This window comes from Homo sapiens, chromosome 10 (genome assembly GCF_000001405.40).
Source record: "Homo sapiens chromosome 10, GRCh38.p14 Primary Assembly".
Lineage (NCBI taxonomy): Eukaryota > Metazoa > Chordata > Mammalia > Primates > Hominidae > Homo > Homo sapiens.
In genome coordinates, this window is record NC_000010.11 from 33,244,425 (window position 1) to 33,271,503 (window position 27,079).

General features: G+C 41.1%; 1 protein-coding gene across 18 annotated transcripts in view, besides 1 other annotated feature; it reads right to left on the reverse strand.

Moving 5' to 3' along the window:
• Positions 1–27,079, reverse strand: part of NRP1 (neuropilin 1) — a 157,175-nt gene that overhangs the window by 66,932 nt on the left and 63,164 nt on the right. For 16 of the 18 annotated variants that reach the window (XM_047425977.1, XM_006717525.3, XM_006717524.3 and 13 more), the window contains exons 3-6: positions 26,251–26,432; positions 19,222–19,449; positions 11,892–12,047; positions 9,604–9,770 (exon numbers count right to left, since the gene is read on the reverse strand). In XM_047425977.1, coding sequence (XP_047281933.1) covers positions 9,604–9,770; positions 11,892–12,047; positions 19,222–19,449; positions 26,251–26,432 — 733 coding nt within the window. The remainder of the gene's footprint in view (positions 1–9,603; positions 9,771–11,891; positions 12,048–19,221; positions 19,450–26,250; positions 26,433–27,079) is intronic. The other 2 variants (NR_045259.2, XM_047425978.1) reach the window with 1 other exon arrangement.
• Positions 19,302–20,501: an enhancer, noted in NCBI's record as "P300/CBP strongly-dependent group 1 enhancer chr10:33552654-33553853 (GRCh37/hg19 assembly coordinates)". NCBI's record gives its function as "activates an origin of replication core promoter dependent on BRD2, BRD4, P300/CBP, MED14 and CDK7 cofactors, with strong dependence on P300/CBP, by STARR-seq in HCT116 cells {active_cell/tissue: HCT116}" and the evidence as "EXISTENCE:reporter gene assay evidence [ECO:0000049][PMID:35650434]".

A 27,079-nucleotide genomic window follows, 5' to 3' on the forward strand; every position in this document is an offset into this window, starting at 1 on the left:
TCTGTGCATGTTATGGATTTCATTAACATTTTACTCCCTGAGGATTCCCAATTGTATAATAACAGAAGTTCTTTAAATTTTAAATACCACAGACAGGAACAGCCTTTCACCCAAAACAGATGTGAAACCATCAACTTTGCCTCCTTATTGGTCCACAGATATGAAACTGGTTGGTAATTGATAGCTTTTAATGTGTTGCTATTTAGGTTACAGAAGTGGAAACTTAATATTATCTTTCCCATGAAAAGATAAGTTATTAACCAATAGACAGCCTTTTCAACCACAATTCTTTACTCTTGATTATATTTGAATTAAAAAAAATAACCCAAGAACTCTCTGATTTACATACCACATAAAAACAAAACTAGGTAGGCAAAGGTCAGTGACATACAACGTTCATGTGTCAAAGAGCTAATTTCAGTCTTATTTTGCCTAAATCTTGTCAATGATAATTTGCAATTTTATCCTGTGCTTCCTTTTCTTAATCCCATCCTTATTAGTGCATTTTGAGACCCAATTGTACAGGCTTCTAAAATAACATCTGTATTTATTTAGCTAAAAACAGTTCACTTTTAAAAGCTAAAAATAGGGAAGCCTAAGATAAATAAGCAGGAAGGTTTATGAAGCTATTTTCCTGCATAAGGCAAACAAACACATCTGTATTTTTGGAAAACAAAAGAACTACGGTTCTGTTCAAATAATATCTACAAGCAGTCAAGAAGTGATAAAAGCCAGCCAAACAACAATGAATTTTTTTCTTTCAAAAGGCTGATTATATGAAAAAAATGAATTTTAGGATCTTTTACGCCAGCGGTTTTCAAGTGGGGGTGATTGTTCCCTAAGTAGGATATCTAGCAATGTCTGGAGACAGTATTTGGGTTTTATGACTTACATGTGTATGTATGCTATGTGCTTCTAGTGAGCAGAGGCCTGGGACACTGTTCAACATCCTATCTTGCACAGGTCAATCCCTCCAAAAGAAAAAGATTATGCAAATCAAAATGTCAGTATTGCTCAGACCAAGAAACCCTGCTCTAGATGTAGTCCAACCATGTAAGTTAAAGCTTCTGCAGTGATTGTTCAATTTCATAGGCGTCATTTGCCAGTCAGCAAATAAGTAGGGATAGGCTGGGGTTTAAACATGCTTGCTTGGTCTTCAGGACACCAGCCTCAACAGAGACTCAAATCCATTTTCATCTTGTTACAATGGAGTAGGAGCAGGGATGCTAAGATTCTAGTCCAGGTTCTGTCATTAACTTCCTCTGTGGTCTTTCAAATCACTTAACCTCTGAATTTATGCAAAATAAGGGATTTAGACAAAAGGATGCCTGTATCCCTTTTAGTCTTAAAGTTGAGATATCCCTGAAAGAAAAATAATTCTTCTCTAGACCATAACTATGAGTGTTTGTTTCAAATAGACACTGGCATCAAACAGTAAGAAACCAAAACTGTAAGTAAAATGGAAAGTTGATGCTACACAGGTAATTTATTTGTAAGCGTAATTCTACCTGAACAGTGGTGGTTCTCGAAGAATTGTCTTTTTGGTGATGCTTCATCATCAAAATCTAAGAGGCTTTTTCAAATATCATACATTTTCTTTAAGGTGTGTTGACATGAAATTAGTATAATCATTGCACTGATTTTTTAAGCTGAATTAATTAGTCAACTTGACCAAAATGGTCAAAATCATATTGGTAATTTCTTTCTTTTTTTTTTTTTGGTAATTTCTACAAAACAAAACAATCAGTTAAAAATATCCAAATAATCATCTCTAATGTGTGCACCTGTTTTCCCCAAATCATACCCTCCTTAAAAAAAAAAACACCTTAGAATTTAATCCATCTCTACCTACATATTCCCTTCAAATGACTCCCTGTGATGTGAAAAGCCATGGTCCCAGGACAACATTAGGAAAAGTTCCTCAGGACACTGTAGATTATGGAACAGACTTCCTGGGTGGAAACTCAGTCATAGGTAACAGACCTCTGCTTCATTAATGGGTAGTATGTAAAGCATTTATTTTATGGAGGAAATAGAAGTCAATGCAGAATCAGGGTAAGCACCAAAAGCTCACCTTGGGGAATTTTTTTTAAAGCAAATTGTCTTCCTTCCAGATGAATGTTTTGGTTGAAACAGCATATTAGTATTAGTTGCAATAAACACACACACACACACACACACACACAGAGCACACCTGGGGAATCCACATCCATTTGAACAGCTGTATTTTCCCTAGTTTTGCCAACACTGTATTTTACATGCATCATTCCACATTTGGGTAACCCAGTGAGCTATTTTTGTCAGTTCTCTACTTACAGATTTATAAAGTATCATTTTAATGTAATTTTGGCAATTTACTAATGATCTGAATGAGTTAATACACCCCCTAAAGTGTCTGGTTTATAGGCACAGAGTGTTTACAATCAGGATAACCTGGTCCTATGTATGCTCTGGATCAGTCAATTTAGCAGATGGAACCAATTCTGAATACAACACTATGGACAAAACCTGTGAGAAACCAGCAATTTGGTGAAAAAAATCAAAAATGATTTCACAGGCGATACCTCTTCCACGCTCAACCCATTAATACTGGAGAATAAAAAGATCTGTCCAGAAAGTTTAAGAGAAAAGAAAATTGTATATGAAACTTGTTAAAACAAATGACATTCTAAAGCTTTAAGGTAAATTACTTCAGTTTCTACTTTCAATGTGGGGAGATTCTAACTTTAAAGATAAAACAAGGGTTTCAAGTAACAAATTCTTCAAATTGAATATGTCAGCACTCACTCATCCCACCTGAAATGTGATAAATAAATATCATACTACCATTTTTCAGAGGAAATATTTCCAAGGGCTCATAAGTTATTTCACTCCATTTGGTCTTAAAGGAAGTCCAGGCCCTTCACAGCTCCTGAAATCAGGTCTACGCCATTGTGTTATTTTTCATGTCCATTCTCTGCAAGTTGTAACAGGCAATTCAAATTTTGAATCATGACAGAGCCATTTTGGAAGTTGCCAGAAGCAACAACTCACCACTCTGGATGGGATGTTGGTGAAGTGTATGGATGGGAAACCTTGGAGGACTGAAGGAAGGACCCTGGGGCCGAGGGTGGCAAACCTGACTGTGTCTGACAGCCTCGTCTGTGGCCCATTAGGCCTGATGCCAGGATTAGTTATGTTTCTCCGAATAGCTGGCATGAGAGTATCTCTCCAGCATACCTCAGTCGCAAGAGCATGCAGTGAAAAACATAATCAGAGTGGCCAGAGAGCTTTGCAAGCCTCACCTGCACCCTGGCTGGGTGTCACATCCAGAGGCAAGTGGCAATGCACGCGCTGGCCACGGTTTGACTTCTCCTTCTGTGCCTGCTGTCTTGCTTCCTGAGTCTGAGGAAGGATATCCACGTCCATTGTGTAAGACCGTGATTTCTCACAAGTTATATCTTTCTCCGGAGTCAGGACTTTGGTGAACCATTTAACCCCACTGGGCCTCAGTTTTCTCATGTGAAGATGGGGGTAAAAATCTCTGGTCAACTGACCTCACTTTGTAAGACTAAAATAGGACGTATATAAAAAGTGCTTTTGGCCAGGCGTGGTGGCTCATGTCTGTAATCCCAGCACTTTGGGAGGCTGAGGCAAGCAGATCACTTGAGGCCATGAGTTCAAGACCAGCCTGGCCAACATGGGATGACACGCCATCTCTACTAAAAATACAAAAATTACCTGGGCTTGGTGGCACACGCCTGTAATCCCAGCTACTCAGGAGGCTGAGGCAGGAGAATCGCTTGAACCCAGGAGGTGGAGGTTGCAGCGAGCCAAGATCGTGCCACTGCACTCCAGCCTGGGCAACAGAGCGAGACTCTGTCTCAAGAAAAAAGTGCTTTTATAAGGGAAGAGCGCTATGGAAACATAAGATTTCGTTGTTAGAGTATGTGTCACAATTAATTTAAAAATCTTTCAAGCAACCCTAAAGGCCATTTAGATTGGACCAGTTTCTCATGTTGAACTTAGAAGAAGGGCATTTACTTTCTTTTGACACTATTGTCTCAAAGGACTAAACATGACTGTGTGTGTTTCAATTCCATTCAGCCCATCTCCCTACCACACTAAGGGCTTTCATTAATGGTCCTTCAGAGAGAAAATGGGGAAGACGTTAATATTATTTGAGAAATACATATAAGGCAAAAGGAAAACATGAAAACAAGCTTCTTCAGCAGGTTGGCTCCAGTCCTTCTCTTCTGGAACTTTCCTTCTTCTCATACCTGAGAATTAATATCTGCACTAGAAAATGGAGTGGAGAAAGAAGAGGCTCTTGCCTCAAGGGTTTGCTGATGTGGTCTTATAGGTACAGACTGTCTTCCTTTAGGTTTCCTTCTGTGTGACTAATCCACAAGAGGGCTGATTTACCAACCCAAACAGGATGTGGTTTAGAAGTCAACCATTCTCTGCTCCTCCAGAATAAGTGAAGGCATAAATACTCTAGTACCACAATTTTTTTCCACAAGAGAAAAAGTCCCCAAATTTGGAGAAGAGTAGTTTCAGCCCGAGTTGGTTTGTCAAGTAATTTAATTTCAAAAGTCACTAGGGAGTGTGGTAATCCTGGTGCTATTTTTGTTTCTTTGAACAACAAAGTTCATATCCCACCCAGGTATTATGTCTCTTGTTTTTTTTTTTTTTTTTTTTTTTTGTCTCCTGGCATTTTAATCAGAGAAAAGTCACAGTTATTTTGAGGAAAGCACTCCCAAGAGCTTTAATTAAAGCTGGAAGGATAAATCTGTTTACAGTGTGGTGAACACTATCATTAATAAAACATTGAAATAATTAACGAATTAAATTCTGCTTTGCGTGTCAATGGCTACGTTCAGGATCTTTGAGAACGTCTCCCTAGAAGATGCAGTACACTGTGTACTTAGTTTGCGGAAATGAAAAGGAAAAACTGAAACTGCATTTCTCTGAGATTCATAGATCACAGATTGAGAGAGCCTGAATGGAGTGAAGGCTACGTTATTTTTATTTTATAGGAAAAGAAACTCAGTTTCAATGAGCTTAATGGCCTGGGTTCTAATGATGTGCTTGAAGAGGAAGATTTTGATCGCACCACTGATACACGGAGTCTGTATTTTGCATCCTAGAATGATTAACCAGAAACAAAGAAAGGAAAAAGGTAAAATTAATAATAAGATCAGCAGCTCTGGGACACAGAATAAAGAATGGAATAATCTGGAAAAAAAGGCAGGGCAGGCAAATTTCATAGTGTGATTAACTCTGCCACTGACAATGAGGAAATTTTAGTAGCTCAGGATATGAAGTGGCTTTTTGAGCAGGATATGGCTGTGTGCAAACCTTCACATTGGGACTTCCTTCACGCTCCTTCTCACTAACAGGCTCCTTGACTTGTTTTTAAGCTTTCTGGCAGACAACGGATCTCACAGGAAGCTCCAATGTGGACGTTCATATCGACAGTTAATGATGCATTGTTTTTTTTTTTAATGCCACTCAGTAATTTCCTAGGGAAAACAATGGGAACCGAAGCTTGTTCCTGTCTTGATGGAAAGTCAGCTTCCAATATCGCCTTATTAATTTAACACATGCAAGTATTTGTGTACTTGTTGTTGCTACAGCAACTTGTTTTGTGAGGGCATATTTCATGCAAAATGTGAAAAAGCTGAAAAAGAAAACAAATGTCATCTGCATACTTATGTGCATATAAATAGAAATGTATGTGTGCTAAGGTTCTTGTGATTAGAGGTACGTGCCTCTTGCCCTCAGTATAAATTATGCTGTACTTGTTGGTTAATTTACAAAACATCTATCTAATGAAAACAACAAGCCAACCACTTCCAAGGAGTTTCAGAAAAGCTGGAAACACATGAAATTATTCATAATTAGGTGATCAGTGGATGATAACAGCACCCACCCTGTACACAGACACAAGAAGCATGTAAATGAGCCTGCTGAGCTCGGAAGGCGAAAAACGGTAATTTTACCTCAAGGTGAACCTGAAGCTAAGCTTTTGTGACTTTCACCTTTCAGAGGGATGGAGCAGCAAAGTCCCTGCATTGTAGGCTTAGAAATAGGAAGCACCCAACCCATCTCAACGTGATTCAGCAGGGAGGTGATGGACATTTCATAAAATAGGCTTGAAAGTATATGAATGGGAATAAATGGTTAAAATCCTGCATACTGTAATATAAACAAGTGGGTGTTAGAGTCTGATAGACCTTGTTTCCAAGCCTGGTCACTAACTGTGACCTTGAGTGTTTACTCGTTTCTCTGAACTTCAGCAATCTCGTTTTTAAAATGGGGATGATTATACCTCCTTCCCAGGATTGCAGTGAGGATCAGATAAAAAATATTCAAGTACTTAGGACAGATCGGGCCACATTCTTTGGACTTGATAAAGGATTAGTGTCGTATGAGTAGGACAATTATCATTTAAGCTCTCCTCCCTCTAGCCAGGTGGGGCCACAGCTTCCTGTTGCCCCTCAGAAGTTAAGTGTGGCTCTGTGATATGCTTTGGCAGTGAAGGTGGGTGGAAGTTATCCAGCAGGGAGACCCAAGAACCATCATGATGAGCTGCAATCTTCCTCCCTCTGTGATATGGTCAGGCTTTGTGTCCCCACCCAAATCTCATCTTGATTTGTAATCCCCAGCATTGAGGGAGGGGCCTGGTGGGAGGTGATTTGATCATGGGGGCGGTTTTCCCCGTGCTCTTCTCATGATAGTGGGTGAGTTCTCATGAGATCTGATGGTTTTATAAGATGGTTTGGAAGTTCCTCCTTCACTCGCCTCTTTCACCTGCCGCCATGTAAGACGTGCCTGCTTCCCCTTCTGCCATGATCTTAACTTTCCTGCTTCCCCTCTGCCATGATTCTAAGTTTCCTCCCCAGTCATGCAGAACTGAGTCAATTAAACCTCTTTCCTTTATAAATTAACCCAGTCTTGGGTAGTTCTTTATAGCGGTGTGAGAACAGACTAATACACTCTGCCTTGGGGCAGGCAACATTTCAGAGGACGCTGTCCCCCAAGTCTGGGTCCTGGCATGAGAAGATACAGAGCAGACCCCAGCTGGCCCAGCCATAGAACATGGCATAAGCAAGAAGAAAACCCTCTAGTTTTTGGGGTTTGAGTTACCTTGCTTCTCCTGATCATGTTTTCTCATTGGCAAAAAGAGATGGATGATTTGAGATTTTTTTTTCTTCTGGGGCAATCTCAGATTGTGTCTAACTCCAAAGAATGATGTAAATCTGTTCTGTTCACAAATGCTTTGTGAGAGGCCATGTAGTCTTAGTGTTTTTACTGACAAGAGAATTGCCTTGCGCAGAAGAATTGCTACAGTTGCAGTTTCAGAGCTCCTGGAAGACCACCATTTCTACCTTAGTGAGAGCTCCCCACATTACCAAGAATGGGACTACATTACTGATACGGGAGTGCTGGGAAGGCAAGAGCGCGGTCCCTTTAAATGGTACAGAAGGGGGAAGGGAAGTGCAGGGTAGAGAAAGGAGAGTCCCTGGCTAGGGCTCCACCCCCACGGACCAAAGTGAAGACAGGTACTCCTGCTTTCCCGCCTAAATGTTGCATTTTCCAAGACCACCATGGCCCACCACGCCCCCATCCTGGGCCTTTAATAACCCGAGACCCTAGCGGGCAGATATACAAGCGGCTGGATATCGTGAGGAACACATTGGGGGAAGAAGGCACAAGTGGCTGATCGTCGAGAGCCCACCGGTAGAAGAGCACACCAACAGGCACAAGCACAACGACGTGGAGTTTGACCGGAGCTGTTGGAGAAGAGTCCAGGAGAAAACCATCTCCCTTCCGGCTCCCCCAGCAATAAAACCTTGCACGCATTCTCCAAGACCACGTGTGATCCGAATCTTCCCGTACACCAAGGCAAGAAACCCTGGGATACAGAAATCCCTCTGTCCTTGTGATAAGGAAGGGGGTCTAATTGAGCTGGTGAACACAAGCCGCCTATAGACGGCAAAGCAAAAGAGCACCTGTAACACGCGCCCACTGGGGCTGCGGCTGTAAACATTCAGCCTTAGACACTGCCGTGGGGTCGAAGCCCCACTGCCTGCCCATCTGTATGCTCCCCTAGAGGTTTCAGCAGCGGGGCACTGAAGAAGCGAGCCACACCCCTATCGCACGCCCTGTGAGGGACACAAGGAGACCTTTCCTGTTTCATTACCATGCAAACATGCTTAGTGCTGCAAAATGTAAGCTTCCCCCGAGAGGCACATCTGTCAATCATACTGAACTGCCTGTTGGTTTGGGGATGTGGGAAAACAAGTTACCAAGAACTATTTTGACACTGGCAAACTCATTTCATTTCTGTCTTAATCTAGAGATGGATTCAGCAATCCCAAGGTAGACGTCTCATCTTTTCTCACTCTCTACATATTTCTCAGTGTTGGAGGTTAGCGTGAGTTCAGTCTCCTGTAATAGGCCATTTCACTTTAAGTGTATGTTAAACTAATATTGACCTTTCCAAAGTAAAACAAAATCTGCTATTTGTGCTCAAAAGACTGAAGCAGCAATAGATGTGGAAAGTAGAGGATTAATCATCTTGTGGTTTTTTTTTTTTTTCTTGCTTAGAAACTCTCTCTGGGAATTAGTCATTTTATATCTAGCAATAAACGTAAGACAGGATCTGACTATTCTCCTGAAAAGGAAGCCTGGATCCTTCAGCAAATAATCTTTTGTATAATTTGCCCACAGTTTAACCCACAGATCCAGCTATGGATGTTTCATTTAACAGTGAGTGAAAAACTCAGGACTGTCAGCATCAGGCCTTTGGGTGGGAATACCCAGATATCAAGGTTGGGCAAGTGGGCATTAGGAGTGGTGCCGGCGATGAGAGGGGGTAGATTAGACGGCTGGAAAATGGGGTCAGCGGTGGGGATGTGGGGCAGACGAGGTGTCTGTGGGGATATGTAAGTGACAGCAGGAAGGGAATGCCAGAACAAAGCGAGGAAAGCAGAGGTAGCATCACTAATGAAGACACAAATATGTACATTTCATGCCTAAACATGGATATCTCGTCAATGGAGAGTGCCTTCAACCAAACCCCCTTCTTGGATGTGTGCTATATAGACCTACATGGAAAAACACACTCCAACCTTTCCTTCCCTTCTCCTACCCTGAACAAACAGAAACCTATTATTGGAAACAATTATTTCATACACGTCTATAAACAGGATTCATATATTTCATCCAGGAAATAAAAACATGTCAAAATAGGAAGCCCATTAACAGACAGTGTGTAGTTGGGAAAAATCAGATCTTGGAGCTGTTATCAAAGTGAGACACTTGTAGTCACATTCTCGGAAGAGTAGTATATAAGTATCTGAGAAGATAAATGCGTTTTCAGGGATGTCATCTTGGGCCTGCTTTTCTCTGATCGTGTAGCGATGGGCTCATTTTGCAGTGATTTATACCTGATGGCCGTGAACCTATCTTCTCTTGCAGTGATTTATACCTGATGGCCGTGAACCTATCTTCTCATTGGAGGCCATTTGGCACAGTACCACTTTCTTTCAACAACCTCTCTAGATGGTCAAAAACTTATTCAATCCTAGATAGGCTTGATCTTATGCTGCATACCTGTATCCACTCTCGGTAGGAATCCTCTCCGGGAGTCCACCCATTCTCAGGGTAGTTCAGGCGGGAGCGCTCTGCAGACCAGTTGGTGCTATACTGGGAAGAAGCTGTGATCTGGTCAGAATGAATTTCTCCTGATTCCATGCCCAGAGCTTCCATACATTTGAAATCTGAAGGGAAAAACAGGGCCCACAGTCATCAAAATATAGGGGATTTAAGATGCATTTTTCTTTTTTAACTTGATACACCAAAGAGTTCTTTCATTCAAAATTCTTTAAAAAGATGGTAGTAAGGGACTTATTGGAATATAGCACTGATACTTGGATTTTCATGGCAATATTTAAAAATATTATGAAGATCATACAGTGATTAATAATTTTCCCAAGTGGACCTAGGTTGACAAAAAGACTATTTGAAATTTACCAGGAAATGATGAAAATTCTGATTTATTTTCACAGTTGAGTGTGTGTGTTTGTAACTATCTGTGACTCTACCTGTCATATGGGTACACACAAAAAGTTGCATTTAAAATAAAATTTTTGTATTAAATTATTTCTTTTAATATCGAAGAGAATTGAAAAAAGACTCTATGTCTAGTTACAATTCATACTCAATGGATGGTAGAACTTAACTCCCTGTCTTTCAGATTCTACTATTGGCACCCAGACCACCTCTTCCTGACTTCCATTGTTCTTATGCCCCACCTCTGGCCTGCATGACTATTAACATAATTAGTTTATCAAAACACAGTTATGCATTGGGGGTAAACTGCACTGTCACACGGCCCCAAAGCACCACAGTTTTAGAGCATAAAATCATAATGCTCACAACAGTGAGCATAAGAATGATTGCTTTGTTTAAAGAAGCACATTAGGTGGACATGTCCCTGGAGGGAGGGGCCTTCAGCAGGGACGTGGTGTTTCAAGGCCAGTGAAACATCAAAATCTATATTCTCTTAGGCCTAACATCCTCAGTTTGATGATACTGGGAATATGAGCTTTCAGTTTTAGGAAAATGTTTATCCAAAGTACACAAGTGAAAAAAAGCTTTAGAGATTAAAGGGAAGATTCTCAACCATCCAGAAAATCTCAACTAACCAAAATTCCCCATTTTCTGAATTTTCTATCAATAACAGATAAGGTTTTAGGGCATACAAGGTTTTCTTGCAATGGCTTCATATTTTTAAGCTTAGGTTTGTTATTTGTAATATAACAATTATTTACAGGCACAAAAATACATAAATCAATTAAATAAAATACAAATCAGATTTTGAAATTTCACTGGCCTCTTTATTTTCCAGTGAGATCTGGTGTAGAAGATATGAGCATATCTGTAGAATACCTCTCCAAACACCCCCTGTCCTCTCCCTGTGCTACTTTACAGCCTGGCAGCTAGAGCTGATAATTGCACAAACAATTTTTTCTTTGTTCTTTTTTGTTGTTGTTCTTGAGACTGGGTCTCACTCTGTCAACCAGGCTGGAGTGCAGTGGCATGATTATAGCTCACTGCAGCCTTAAACTTTGAGGCTCAAGCAATCTTCCCATAGCTTCCCAAGTAACTGGGACTACAGGCACAATCCCCCATGCCCAGCTAACTTTTCAATTTTTAGTAGAGTCAGGTTCGCATTATATTGCCAAGGCTGGGCTCCAACTCCTGGCCTCAAGCAATCCTCCTGCCTCGCCCTCCCAAAGCACTGGGATTACAGAGTGAGCCACCAGTCCTGGCCTTATTCTTTGTTCTTTCAGATTTTTTTTCTTGGGCCTTTAAAAGAGCTAGAGACCACAAAAACTTTGAGGAAGGGTTGAGTTAGCTGAGTTTTTTCATAGAATACAAAAAACATACTGGCTTCCCCCAGCATCTTCCACAACCAAACCACTGTGCATTTCCCATACTTCGTGACTGCTCTGTCGGTGAACTACTTTAGATTTGTTCTTATCATCTGGGATAGATGCCTGTCCTCTTATGATGCTCAGCCTTGTATGCATTTGAGGGTGCCAGGTAGATGCTCTAGTCACATTTCATTGTTTCAAGGCACTATTTTGCCATTTCCTACTTTCTCCCATAATTTCAGAGGCTCCCAAGCAGGCTTCTCACCCACAATTTTATGAAGAAAGCACACCAAACAGTTCTTCCTATTGATACTCATAAAAAAACATTTAGAAGAGAAAAACAGACAGCTGGCACCCCAGTTCACAAAACATTTCTTTAGTGCTTCATGTGGCCGCAGGTGTGTGAGCAGGAATAACATTGAGTATTTACCACAGGGCTTTGCAAAATGAATAAACACTGACCTTCTGAGACACTGCTCTGCAAGACACTGTAGTTTGCTGAGAAACCTTCTTTTGCTATCGCGCTGTCGGTGTAAAAAACCATGGAGAGAATGCCCGATGAGGATCGGATTCGACCTGGTGTTTTCTGTCCACAGTAACGCCCAATGTGAGGGCCAACTGGAAAGGGAGGAATACAGACGATGTCAAAATGTCTTTTCTCCTGCAGCAGATGCAAGAATTAGCATTTACAAAGATGGGCCCCAGTAGAACCCAGAAGTGTTTTCTAACCCAAAGCAAGGCTTCCCTAAGTTAATTGGTTTGCTGTGAACATATTGGATTGGGTTTGCGGAGAAGATTTTAAAGTGTACTCAGAAGGGCAGTAACAGGCATAACCGCATTCCCCAGTGAGCAGAATTGTTTTCAGGAACAGAATCAAAATGCTTGCTTCAATTGCAAAGAATGAGATTTAGGCTATTGAAGTGGCACCTTGGTACCCACTGGCAGGGCAAATCTGTATACACAGCTCAGCGCCAAAAGATTCCTGCTAAGCTGTGGTCACTGAGGTTTCTGAGTTACCCGTCCTCGCCTCTCTTGCCCTAGGGGGAGATTCTGGGGATGCTGATGTCCAGGGAACCCTCTGGTCTGATCAGTCCCAGGGGTCTGATCCACGATTGACCTGCAATTGGCTTCCTCATGCTATCTTTTAGCCCTGGATTCTTATTATGATAAACATAACAGGCTTGGACAAAGGACAATGGATTATGTCCTACTCAGGGCTTTATGTGAAGACAAATCATTGTAACCATGTAAAAAGTTGGAGACTACATATACCAATAATTTATACATAATGGCAACTTATAATCTAAATGAAATAAAAATGCATCTGTCTGACTTCTGTCCTAGTTTCTTCTCTCCTAAATCTGAGAGGTGACTTGTTTCCAGTGGCCAAGACATCACCAAAAGCAACCATTTGATTGTGCACACCAGGAAAAAAAGTGGACTTGAGGAGGCGAATGATTGGGAACACCCACTAATTTATGTTAAAGTCAAATTATTTGATGGCTGAGTGCGGTGGCTCACTCTTGTAATCCCAGCACTTTGGGAAGCTGAGGTGGGTGGATCACTTGAGGTCAGGAGTTTGAGACCAGCCTGGCCAACATGGTGAAACCCCGTTTCTACTAAAACTACAAAGATTAGCCAGGCGTGGTGGGCAGTGCCTGTAATCCCAGCTACTGGGGAGGCTGAGGCAAGACCCAGGAGGTGGAGGTTGCAGTGAGCCAGGATTGCACCACTGCACTCCAGCCTGGATGACGGAGCGAGACTCTGTCTCAGAAAAACACACAAAAAAAACAACAATTTGCTGTTTGACTTAAACTGGCCACACCTTTGTTGAAGTGCTTTAAGCAAACCCTGGCAATGAGTAAACTGGAAATTGCCTTGGGAAGAGTGCAGAACCCCCGTGGATGGCAAATCTCTCCATTTCCCTGTCCTGATCATCGACAAGCCACACATAAAAAAGTCCCTTTTTTTTTTCTCTAGGTTTTTTCATTGCACATATGGCAAAAACATACCAGATGGTTTGGGTTTAGAAGGACAATATGGTGTGGACTGTTTTCCCCTCCAAGAAATCCATGGTTCTGTGCGTTTCAACTAAGAATGATTGCTTTGTTTAAAGAAGCACATTAGGTAGACATGTCCCTGGAGGGAGGGGCCTTTAACAGGGACGTGGTGTTTCAAGGCCAGTGTGTGCAGTTTGGATGCAGGATGCGGCTGATGAAGGCCAGGAGAGACTTCAAGTGTGGTTGCCAAAGTGAACCCCACAAGAACTGGTCTCCCTGAAGCCCAAGTACCAGCTGTGTTCCTAGTAGGCAGCAAATCGGAGCCACTGTTTCGTGGATTGCACAGATCCTTGGCCGACAGGTTTTCAGCTCTTGGCCAATTCTCTTTAAAAAAGAAAAAAGAAAAAACCCCAAACCCAAACAAAATAAAATAACTAAAGTAAACCAAAATGGTTCACCTATTTGAGTTAGCGCAACAATGGGTTGCTTTGAATAATACCTGATAATTTTTCGATGTGTTGAAAATAATGGAGTTGACTGAATTCAGAGTTTTCTCTCTGTTGCAACCCCTCACTCTCCCTCCAGGCACCACACAGTTTGTGTGCATAGACTGCTTTATCATGAAGAAAATGAGGAGGATGACCCAGTGAGGAGGACTGATACAGATTATCTACAGGGCATCACGCTGTCACGGACAATAGCTTTGCATTATGGAAGCAAATTTTGTTATATTCGACTTCTCAGTTGGCAGAAGAAAGCATCTCAGAAGATGAAACTCTTGCTGTTTTTTGTCTCTCTTCAGCTTTATTCCTGGCTTCTGATTCTTCTACAGGTAGTGGTTCTTTGCTATTTAATAGATTTTCTTCATTCTGGATGTGGCCCTAGTAGTAATGCAACACTTTTTTTTTCTTATCTCTGGAGCACGAAGTTGTCCATAACATACACATGAAAATACCTTGCTAGAACCATACACTTAAGTCTTTGCTTTCCTAAAAAGGAATCTCATTTCTGATCTGCAATATTAAAAGAAAAGCCTTAGAGTCCACTCAGACTTCCTCACTATTTTTTCCCTCATTTAAATTACATTAGTGTGGCTTCATGATGTTTTTTCTTTAGTTTGTGGGCAAATGTTTACAGCCCTAATCCTTGGGGTCGTCCTCTGATCGCCACAGCCGCTGACCTCCCCCAGAATACAAGCTTGCAAGCAAAGCTGTGATTGCCCTGTGGAAGCTCAGGCGGCTGATCCTCCCTGCCACTATCACCCAATTCCTTTGGGGAGGGCGGAAGGGGAATCTCTTTGAAAGAGAAAACAGAAGAGAACTTGTCTGATGCAGACTTGCAATTTAGAGAGTCTCCATGACTCACTGGTTTATAATGTTTAAGACATGCTGGGTAAATCTGCCTTCTGTCCCTAGAACACTGCCCCCGGACAACAGCGTGCCACTCTCTTTAGGAGCCCTCAAGATACGAGAGTGAAAGGCTTTTTCGACTATAATACAAAGAAGTATTGAATTTTCCTGAACAACAGCGAGACCTTAGCCTAGCAAGCTAATGCAATATTGATCTGAGCGAGAGTGGATGAAGTACTCTTATCCGTCTCGTGTGTGTGCTCATTTGTGTATTTACATGAACACAGCTATTGGATTTCCTATTTCTGTTATTGTGGACCGAAGCGCCGAGGAGATGAATGAAAATGGTCACAAAAACAGAAGTATAATTCAAAAATTGAATTATTGCAGAATTTCAGCAAGCAACATGTGCCAAGCTTCAGGGAGAGGAGAGCTATAATGATCATATCGTATCAGATGTGAAAGGAATATAGTATTTGTGCTGTTTAAAGATATGCCTACAACGGGCAATGGTGATCCCACATCCTTTGCATTTTCCCATTAATCTCTCCAATAATTGTAACCTTATCTCAGAATCAGATGATTTGGCTTTTTGCCACTTTTTATGTGAAAAAATAAAAGTGCTGATCTACTATAAAGAGGTACTTAAATTTTTTTTTTTCTTTTTTAGAGATGGGTGTCTCACTCTGTTGCCCAGGCTGCAGTGCGGTGGCGCAATCATGGCTCACTGTAACCTAGAACTCTTGGGCCCAAGTGATCCTCCCACTTCAGTCTCCTGAAGGGCTGGGACTCTAGGCTCATGCCACTACCACCAGCTAATTTTTAAATTTTTTTTTGTAGAGACAGGGTCTCATCTCTCGATGTTGCCCAAGATGGTCTTGAACTCCTGGCCTCAAGCAGTCCCTCCCACCTAGGCCTCCCAAAGTGATGGGATTACAGGAGTAAGCCACCACACCTGGCCTAAAGGTATCCTTTTTAAAATGAAGTATTTTGAATAATAAACGAAAAAGGGATTCATTTCAAACGTACAAAATAGGCCATCTATATTTTTCTGAAATTAATACACTTTTTGGTGTAGAATATCTGGAATACCAAAAATACATTTTGTAGCTTTTCCCCAGAAAAAATCTGGCATTTTATATCTATCTCTTCTAAATTAATCTTTAGAAGATTAATTAAATGTAAAAGTAAATAAAAAACAAGCAGAACTCAATCTAGCTTTTATGAAATGTATTCCTGAAATGGTTGATAATTTTTGGAATGTTGGTAAAATTGCAGTTCCAGCCCCTTTTGCCAGCTGAGGCAGAGAGCTGACATCATCAGCACCGATGTGACGTGAGCTAAGCATTCACTTCAGGCCCCATCATCCAGCACCAACACTTCCAGCATGTACCCGGGCAATGATGCTGCACTTTTGGTCTTAGCCCATATGTAAACCTCCACCAATTTTTTCAGAGTTGCTACTTGTGAATCCATACAGCTTCAAACACAGTGATAGATGGAGATGTGTGATTCACAACACGCATGCCTTGAATTTTGAGTTCTGGAGTAAACTGCTTTTCTTCAAAGTCAATTTGAATCAATGGGTAGCTTTCAATTACCTAGTCATTTAATTCAGTGTTTATGATAAAATGCAACATAAAATCACTTGATGGTTAAAAGCCTTCCACGCCTTCTGGTTGTTGTTTTTGGAAAGGATATCAAAGACTAAAAGCAATCTTGTTGGCAGAGGAACTGTGTATGTTGAACTACTATGACACAAATGTTTCTAGTGCCATTGACCAAAAAAAAAAAAAAAAAAAAAAAAAATCCAGGAAGATGCAGTTTTATTTTGCCTAAAAAAGAAAGCTGTTATGCAGGTGCAGGCTGAATGAGGCCAGGTAAATATTAACAAATATACAAACACATCTTCATATTCCAAAGCCAGTTTTCTCTGGGAACAAGTGAAAGGCACCATAGTTTAAAACATGCGTAAATTGCAAGGCTGATAACTCTTATTGTTAATTGTTCCTCGATTCAACTCAGTGATTTTCTAGAGCCAGAAAATTACTACTTTGAAAAACCCTTGACACTAATAACAATGTGCCTTCTTTCTGAAAGTCTTCTAAATAAGTTGATTGATTGGACCTCTTCTTCAGATGTCAATTTAAATGAAAGTTCTAGAAAGGAAAGCTGCAAATTTGGGTTGTGAACAAATAAATCCATTGTAAAATGTTCCAACTATTGTTACAATATTATTATAATACTATTTTCCTAATTATCAGATTGAATACTTGGAAATCAATCAGAACTCTGGGCAAATCTCATTATTTAATAAAGGAGTTTTGATAAGATTATCATAACCCTGTTTATATGGTAAAAGAGCAAAGAAGATATTAAACTAATGTTAACTCACCCATTTATTCCAATGGCAATATAAGGCTTCTCTAAACCTGGTTTTTTTCTAATGCTGTTTACTACTGAGGAACATAGCTAAATTGAATCACACTAATAATAATGTCATTTCAAAGACTAAGGCAATCTCCTTTACATTTTACTTATTCTTTTTTTTAAAACAGATTCTTGCTCTGTTCCCCAGGCTGGAGTGCAGTGGCCATGATCTCGGCTCACTGCAACCTCTGCCTCCCAGGTTCAAGTGATTCTCCTGTCTCAGCCTCCTGAGTAGCTGAATTATAGGCCTGCACCACCATGCCCAGCTAATTTTTGTATTTTTCGTAGAGACAGGGTTTCACTCTGTTGGCCAGTCTGGTCTCGAACTCATGACCTCAGGTGATCCACCTGCCTTGGCCTCCCAAAGTGTTGGGATTACAGGTAGGAGCCACAGCACCCGGTCTACATTTTACTTATTCTTCATGTACAATGTATTTAAATATTCTTTTGAGAATAGTATCTGACTCTGTTTTACAGATAGTTATACATCTCCTAACTCCATGATGGTGAAGAACTTCCAAGCCATCCTCTCTGATCTGTGTAGTGTGTGTTCTCTAGAGAAATCTTAATATTAAACCAGACTAAACACAAGACAAGCAATGCAGCTGTTAACAAATTATTGGATATTATCCCCCTCTGTTCAGAATTTCACTGTGTATTTTTGCCATTTACCTTCTAATTCACAAGAGTGGAATGGAAAACTTTCATTTAGATGTCCATATGGCTATTTCCTCCACCTCCTTCAAATCTTCGCTCAAATGTCATTTTCTTTAATAAGGTCTAACCTCGGCCAGGCATGGAGGCTCATGCCTGTAATCTCAGCACTTTGGGAGGCTGAGGCAGGAGGATCTCTTGAGGTCAGGAGTTCGAGACCAGCCTGGCCAACATGGTGAAAACCCGTCTCTACCAAAAATGCAAAAATTAGCTGAGTGTGGTGGTGTGCACCTGTAATCCCAGCTACTCGGGAGGCTGAGGCAGAAGAATTGCTTGAACCTGGGAGGCGGAGGTTGCAGTGAGCCGAGATTGCTCCACTGAACTCCAGCCTGGGTGACAAGAGCAAAACTCTGTCTCAAAAAAAAAAAAAAAAAAAGTCTAACCTCACCACCCTATTTAAAATTTCAACCTATACCTCCCCACTCCCAACTTCTCATCCCTTGACTCTGCTGTACTTTTTCTTGCTTTCATTTGGGGAGATTTGTTTATAGCACTTCTCACCTTCTAACATTTCATGCACATAATTCATTTATTTGTAACGTGCATTGTTTATTGTTTCCTTCTACCTGGCAGAAGAGAAACTCCAAAGGGCAGCATCTTTCATTGTTTTGCTTACCCTGTGGCTAGGATGGTGCCTGGTACATGACAGATGCTCAGGAAATATTTTTTAGGTATATGAATGCATAGGTCAATGACTATAAATGATGTATTGAGGTGACTCAAATTCCCTAAGATGAAAAATCTGTAGAGAATGTACAGGGAACCTGTCTAAATTAGGAATGCCCAAACATTCTCGTTCCTTTTCCAAATTTTTGTTTTGTAGCATAACGGATGCATAGTTTAGCCTTAAAATTTTATTAAGTACTCAACCTCTCAGGTCCTTGGTCTCTGCATTTATAAAATGAGTGGTTTGATGTAATGGAATTACTAAGAGCCCATCCTCTTACAATCTGTGAATTAATGATGAGTAGCCAGGTCAGTGGATGAGCAAAATAGTTTAGAGAGAAAAACTATGTGTTTGTCTCAATTATATCACAAAAATAGCTAAAAGAACCTTTTGTAATCTTTCATGGCCTCAGCTTCTTATCTATAAAATGAAGGAATTGGACTAGATAATTACTAAGGTCTTCTTGAGCTCAAATATTTCATCACTGCTCTGAATATAGAGAGTTTTGCTTTGTTTTCCAGTGTCCTTTTGAGGTTTTTTTTAATGATTCATGTATCATGAGACTTGTAAAAGAATACTGGTGCCCTTCCTCCAGAACCTTCCCTTTTTGGGGTGCTTCCTGTCATTCTTACCATCAGGGAATCCATCCCAGATTTCTAGCCGGTCGTAGCGACAGAACATCCCCCCTGGAGGATTTGAGTCAGGCTCCAGGTCAAAGCTTTCAAATTCCAGGATAATCTCTGACATCTTTGGCACAAAGACAATATAAGTGCATTCAAGGCTGTTGGGATATTTTTCAGGGAATCCGGGGGACTTTATCACTCCACTAGGTGTTGTGTAGTTCTGGGAACATTCAGGACCTATGAGTAGAAGAGAAAAAGGAGTAAAGTGAAAATCCCACTTAAACAACTTCCCCAAGAAATAACCTGGGTAAAGACAGAACATCTTTCTAATAAAAGCCCGCCAGTATAACCACTGTTCTAATCATGTATTAGTCAGCCTTTTCATATTAGTAAAATGGGTATGGAAAGTCAAGTTCAGATTTATTGTGTTAACCTTAGCTTTCCATTTGTATGGAGCAATTTAAAGACTTCTGCTGTTGCAGGGAAAAATATGACAAATATAAAATCATGTGGGAACAATGAATGAGTAAGCTGCAGAAATCTCAACAGAGCCCTAGAGAAATAATTATGGCCCCTTCAAGCTTAAACCTTTAAATCTTGAGGCTGACAGCCCTTTATTGGTGAAATAGAACATTTATAAAGGCGAGGGAGAGAATTCAGTGGAGGCAGTTTGGGTTTCAGATTCCTACACCAGTGACTCAGTAACTCTGCCAGATGTGACCTATGCCTCTTTGACAAACGAAATGTGAAAGGTAATTCGTACATGTACCAAGGGTGAGTGACTCATTCTGAGTGGTGTTGACACAGGTGGGCCGGTAAAGTGTGGCTGTTAGTGAGGGCACGATAAACTGTGATTACAGGCCATGATGCCGGAAGTCACCTGATATCAATGCTGACATCCTAACCTTCCCCGAAGTATCAGACACAGTATAGTACGCCATTCTAAAATTGCATGTTAATAGATGTGTGTGTGTGTGTAATGCATATATTTATAATGTGTAATTTTAATGACTGTTCAGTACCACCAGGACTTTACAAATTATGGTGATTTGTCATTGAAATTGGTCAAGAGCATCCATGCATATAGTGCAGGTTGACCTTATGCCTGTATGAATGACTCCAATTTCAATTCATGGTAACCAGCATAGGGTGGTATTCACTACACAATTCAAAAACTGCCCTTCTTGGCCGGGTGTGCACAATGGCTCATGCCTGTAATGCCAGCACTTTGGGAGGCTGAGGTGGGCGGATCACCTGAGGTCAGGAGTTCGAGACCAGCCTGGCCAACATAGGGAAACCCCAGTCTCTACTAAAAATAGAAAAATTAGCTGGGCGTGGTCGTGGGCACCTGTAATCCCAGCTACCCAAGAGGCTGAGACAGGAGAATTGCTTGAACCCGGGAGGCAGAGGTTGCAGTGAGCCGAGATCACACCACTGCACTCCAGCCTGGGTGACAGAGCCAGCCAGACTCCGCCTCAAAAAACAAACAAACAAACAAACAAACAACAACCAAAAAAACCCAAAACTGCCTTCTCTACCAACATGAGCACATCAGCTCAGTCCCTGAATACCACCTGCTGCTATGATCTTCAAATAGCTACACTTAAGACACTTGTGAATCAGAGAAGTCTTTATCCTTTTGAATTTCAGGATCAAATCTGGGGGTGTTCAGTTCAACAACTCTTTTCCTGCATCATTTTCTCACAGTGGCTTGAAGGCAGACGTGATGGGGCCCCGGCAATGACATGCAAGGATTCAATTCTAAATAAGGTGCTTTGTTGAGATTGTTCTTAACTAAACATTCTCCCAAAGTGCCAGGCAACTAGAGGCGACTTATTAGACATCAATAGAGATTAAAGTTAACTAACTAGCAGGTCTCTAGTTTTAGTGATTCAGGTCAGGAGGCTGAATACCAACAGAGTGCATCTGGCAGCCTGTTGAGAAAACAAATCAATCCTTTCCTCCTCATGCACATATCGGCTATCCATGGATCCATGGCATTGCAGATGCAGAAGAATTCTTAGATGGGCCCAGTAAACCTGGTCTGCAGAGGTCTGACTTATTTGAAATACCTCTCAAACCTTCTTGGACGTGGCTCACCCTTCACCATGAGAGCTGCAAATGCTTATCTATTTGATTCTGGTTCAAAAGTTGGTAACGTGGCAATTCGCCAGGTCAGTTCCAGGTAGAGATTATGACATGTGCTGTATGGTTTATAATCTTAGTTTCTAAATTACTCTGGTGGCTTCTGAGATGACAGCGACTATGCTAATTTGAGTCATTTATCCACAAAGAAAAAATATATATATACATACATGATATTGGGGACCCTTTAGGATTTTATATCCACAGTGTAGAAACAGTTACCCTGGAGACCTCCAAACTCTTCCCTGGGGAAAAAACCGCTTTGGCTACATTCTTGTAAGCCATGGTTTATTAGTATCTGCATGAAACAGCAAGGTTTCATGCAGATACTAATATTTTCTCCTTCTTAAAAAGATAAAATGTTTCAGTTCAGATTAAGATTTATTGAGAAAAAAATGACAGGAATTAAGGTCATACTTTCAAAAGCAAGTGAATTTTGGTGCTTTCACTTTGCCCTTGTCATGCTATGGAAGTGATCCCAGGTTTTCTTGTGTATTTCGACAAAACATGGGGACATTCCATGGGGCGATGGACAAGAACTGGATGGAGCCCCAGGAGACCTGAATCCCAGTCCTGAGATTCACTCACCCGCTGTGTAAACTTGGGTGGCCTCTCAACATTTCTGGTTCTCAAATTCTGCGCATGACAAATGTGAGTTGGACTTTAGAATTTGAAAACTAAAATCTCTTCCAATTTAAAGATTCTGTAACTTCATATTTTGTCCACTATACACCAAAATTTGTTTTAATATTTTCCTTATTCACTGTTGTTTCAGTTTACCATAGTTGAAGAAGCACTTTCTCGCAAAAGGACAATGGCAGAAAAGGGGTTAAGAAAGTCCATGGTGAATACACGTGATAGTGTTTGGATCTGTGTCCCCACCAAATCTCATGTCGAATTGTAATCCCCAATGGTGGAGGTGGGGTCTGGTGGGAGGTGATTGAATCATGGGGGTGGATTTCTCATGAATAGTTTAGCACTATCCCCTCTTGGCCTTGTCCTTGCAATAGTAAGTGAGTTCTCATGAGAACTGGTTGTTTAAAAACGTGTACCATCCTGGCTAACACGGTGAAACCCCGTCTCTACTAAAAATACAAAAAATTAGCCGGGCATAGTGGCGGGCGCCTGTAGTCCCAGCTACTTGGGAGGCTGAGGCAGGAGAATGGCGTGAACCCGGGAGGCGGAGATTGCAGTGAGCCAAGATCGTGCCACTGCACTCCAGCCTGAGCAACAGAGTGAGACTCTGTCTCAAAACAAAACACAAAAAACAAAAAAACGTGTAGCACCTCCCCTCCCCTCTCTCTTGCTCCTGCTCCGGCCATTGTGACATGTGCTTCCCCTTTGCCTTCTGCCATGATTGTCAGTTTCCTGAGGCCTACCCAGAAGCTGAGCAGGTGTGAACATCAGCTTCCTATACAGCTTGCAGAACTGTGAGCCAATTAAACCTCTTTCCTTTATAAATTACCCAGTCTCAGGTATTTCTTTACAGCAGTTTGAGAACACAGGAGATGAGAATACAACACAGGAGATGAGCAGGAGTGAGGCCAACAGCCCTGGGTGCCTAGGAGTAAGTGGCACTCACACAGGCATTTGGAGTTAGTGAACATGAGCTCTCCTCTTTACTTGTAAGAACAGGAGTAACTTGTATAGCTATAAGGAATGCCACCATTTAGTTGCCAAGGACAATAAGGACAGAGAATAATAACAGTCAAGATACTCTCTTTGGAATTATTATTAAATGCACAAACTCTCAATCACATAACATATATCAAGTGACCAAGTCTGCCCTCAGTAAATGGCACCCACCCCCGTCCCCCGTCCCCCTTGCACTGAGACCCATAGGAAACAGCAGCAGCTTCTTCCAGCATCTGGGCCTGAAGACCAAGGGAAGGATGGGAACAGAGATCAGTGGGGAGGCTTGAGTTTCCTAGAGAAATCTCTTTAGGCGATTGGAAATAAATGTAGGGCTGGTGGCCCAAAGTTTCAGCATCTGGGAAGAGACATGTAGAAGGAAAAGAGGGGCTCTTAGGAGGAGAATTAGGGCGGTCCAACATGGCTCCAGGAAGGCAGGAAGAAGCGGGGCTGGCCTTGTTGACTGTCAGGCAAAGATGACCCTGGAGCAATGCAACCCGGGGACTCTGGAATGGCCTAAATGTCTCTTAGAACTGTGACCTCACACCGGAAACCTCAAGGCCATTCTGGTTGCATTAAACTATGATTAGTGTAATTTATGTGTTTTCAGGAAACTTGAAATTGCTGCATCCTGAAAGAAGTACTGTATCTTCAAAAGAATAATGATCCATGAATTCTATAATATCATTAAAGGGCTTTTGAGGGAAAAACATTCATGACCTGTGCTTTTGTGTGTGTGTGTATACATATATATATGTTTTCATAAATGAATTATATTAATGATTTTTATGCAGTTGATGCTGTTTTGAGCAGGACCTCAATCTTGCCCAGTGGGGTGACAGAGACCCAGTGTGGACATTTTGAGGACAGTGGCTTCCTGCCTGTTTGAGAAGCTGTGAGCAGGATAGAGTCACATGGGAGGGCCACAACTGGGCCTATTTGGTTAATGGCAGTGACATGGAAAAGAAGCTGAGAGTCTTTGAGACCTTTGGATGAAAATTAAAAAGCAGTGGATGCCGTATTGGATGTGGGAAGTCAAGAAGACAAAGAACAAAAGAAGACTTCAAGTCTGAAGAATGGGCTTGGAGAGCAGGATAGGAAGCTTTGCTACATCTGAGACTAACAGATACGTAGGGAGCTGAGTTCCTTTGGAAGGAACACAAAGAATTCTTCATGAGTTAGTGACAAATCTCTCTTTTCTCCTTCAACTGTCTTCAGATCTCTAAGAAAACTGAAAATAAAAGGCTATTCCTAGCCCCTTTTCTGACACCTTTGTCTTTGATAGTGCCACATACAGGTAAGCAAGCAGGTGTACATATGTGTGTGTACATATACAGACACGTATAATATGACTTCTATAACAAGTCAAACAGTTTTCATCACTAAAAATATGTACATCCATCCTCTGTTTATGCTGATATCATATGTATACTATTATCTATACGAAAGGTGTTCTAAGTACTTATGTGCTTAGATGAATTTCTGAAAGTTCTCTCCATCTATTCCCTATTTATGTGGTGTCAGAGCCAAATATCTTTGAAATGTAAAGAAGTTGTCGCAACGTTTCCTGGATCCCCAACAACTCCCCTTTACATTTTTCTCAGTTATCATGAACCCAGAAGACCGAAGGCTTTTGAAATTGATGTAGTTAGTTTTTTTTCTATCGAAACAAGCTTTTTCTTCTGTATTCCAAGACAATACATTCAAATCTTGATCCTCTTTCCCTGGATTGGTTTTCTATACATTAATGCCAACTTAAAAATGTAAATAATAGGAAGGCTGAATTTCACACACAAAAGGAATTTATAGGCAGTTGCTAAAAACAGTGGCAACCAGATAAAGTTACATGTTTGTTAATTTGTTTATTACTTTTAAATTATTTTTACATTTATATTTAGAGACAGGGTCTTGCTCTGTCACCCAGACTGGAGTGCAGCGGCACGATCAAGGCTCAACTGCAGCCTCCAACTCCTGGGCTCAGGCAGCCCTCCCACCTCAACCTCCTAAGTAGCTGGAACTGATCACATGCATGCGCCACCATGGCTGGCTAATGCATTTTTAATGAAAGAAATCAGACTTCAAGGATAGATCAAACTTATTTTTGAAGAAGACAGATAAGAATAAATGCTTTTTAAAAAGCTAATGGAGTGTATACCTTATAACTGAGGTCCCCAACCCTCGGACTGCAGACTGGTACCAGTTTGTGGTCTGTTAGGAACTTAGCCACACAGCAGGAGGCGAGTGGCAGGCGAGCAAAGTGTTGTCTGTATTTACAGCCACTCCCCATCACTGGCACTACCACCTGAACTCCTCCTCCTGTCAGATCAGCAGCAGCACTAGATTCTCATAGGAGCGCAAACCCTATTGTGAACTGTGTGTGCAAGAAATCCAGGTTGCGCACTCCTTATACGAGAATCTAATGCCTGAGGATCTGTCACTGTCTCCCATCACCTGTATATGGGACCGTCTGGTTGCAGAAAAACAAGCTAAGGGCTCCCACTGATTCTACCTTATGGTGAGTTGTATAATTATTTCATTATATATTACAAAGTAATGATGATAGGAATAAAGTGCACAATAAATGTAATGCACTTGAATTATTCTGAAACCATCCCCCAAACCCTGTCAGTAGAAAAATTTTCTTCCATGAAGCTGGTCCCTGATGCCAAAAAGGTTGGAGACTGCTGCCTTATAACACTGGCCAACACTTCAGATGGGTACAATTTTGATTGCTGAAATACATTTTTTTTTTCAATTTTAAATACACTTCCTCCATACAATGGGTAATTTACCTTTATTTAAAGTACTTCCCTACATTTTTATAATGAGGATATATGTTTTACAAAAGGATAAAAGCATTACTTCTGACTTCCTTTTCACTTTGTCTTTCGTGAAATCAAACAATGTTAAATAAATTTTTTTTTTTTTTTTGAGACAGAGTCTCGCTCTGTTGCCCAGGCCAGAGTGCAATGGCCTGTGCTCGGCTCACTGCAACCTCCACCTCCCAGGTTCAAGTGATTCTCCCGCCTTAGCCTCCTGAGTAGCTGGGATTACTGGCATATGCCATCATGCCTGGCTAATTTTTGTATTTTTAGTGGAGACTGGGTTTCACCATGTTGGCCAGGCTGGTCTTGAATTCCTGAGCTCAAGTGATCCACCTGCCTCGGCCTCCCAAAGTGCTGAGATTACAGGGGTGAGCCACCACACTCGGCCTAAATGAACTCTTAGTCATTCTTGTTCTACCGTAAGCTGTTCACTCACCTCTCTTGAAAATTTCATAACGTATGGAAAATCCTGCACCATGTGTTTCGTAGTCAGAGACAAATTTGATAAAAAGAAATGGCCCTGAAGACACAACAGGAGGAGGGGCTATCTTTCCACAGAACTTTCCCCTAAAATGTCCATTTTCATTTTCTCCATCGAAGACTTCCACGTAGTCATACCTAATACACAAACATGGAAGAAAACATTAGGTTGGTGAGAAATGCCCTTTTAATTTCAATAATTTAGACACCAGCATCATCCAGCATAGTGTGCCAGGAAGAAAAAAAAGTTCTATCTGCATTCATCACTGCATTAAATGGAGGGAAAAAAAAGTCTAGCAAAATGAAATAATTAAAATGGACTACATCATGTCTGTATACATCTGGCAACACACAACTATTAAGAATAATGGTGTCCATTATACTTGCAGACAATGTCAGTTAAAGTAACCAATTAAAAAGAAAAAGAAAAATCTCATGAGCACAATCCTCTATTATTAAATTGTGTTCCTTTGTCTATGGTGGTGGGGTGTCAATACATAATGCTATGCATTCTTTTCAAACTGTGAAGTTCTTTTATGAATTCAAAATGTCTCCTTGGCTGGAGCTCTCTATGAACAATACTTTGATTTCTGTGAGCGACCCTCTAAACATATGGCCACAGAATAATAAACAGATTCTTTACTATTTAACTGCATTCCACCAAACTCCAGACTTCTTTGAAAATAGTCTCTCAGTAGCCACATCCAATAGTTAAAACACAGATTATCTTCCCCCAAATGACACTTGGATTCTAGAGCATAATTTCTCCCAAGAAAAAGTTTAGT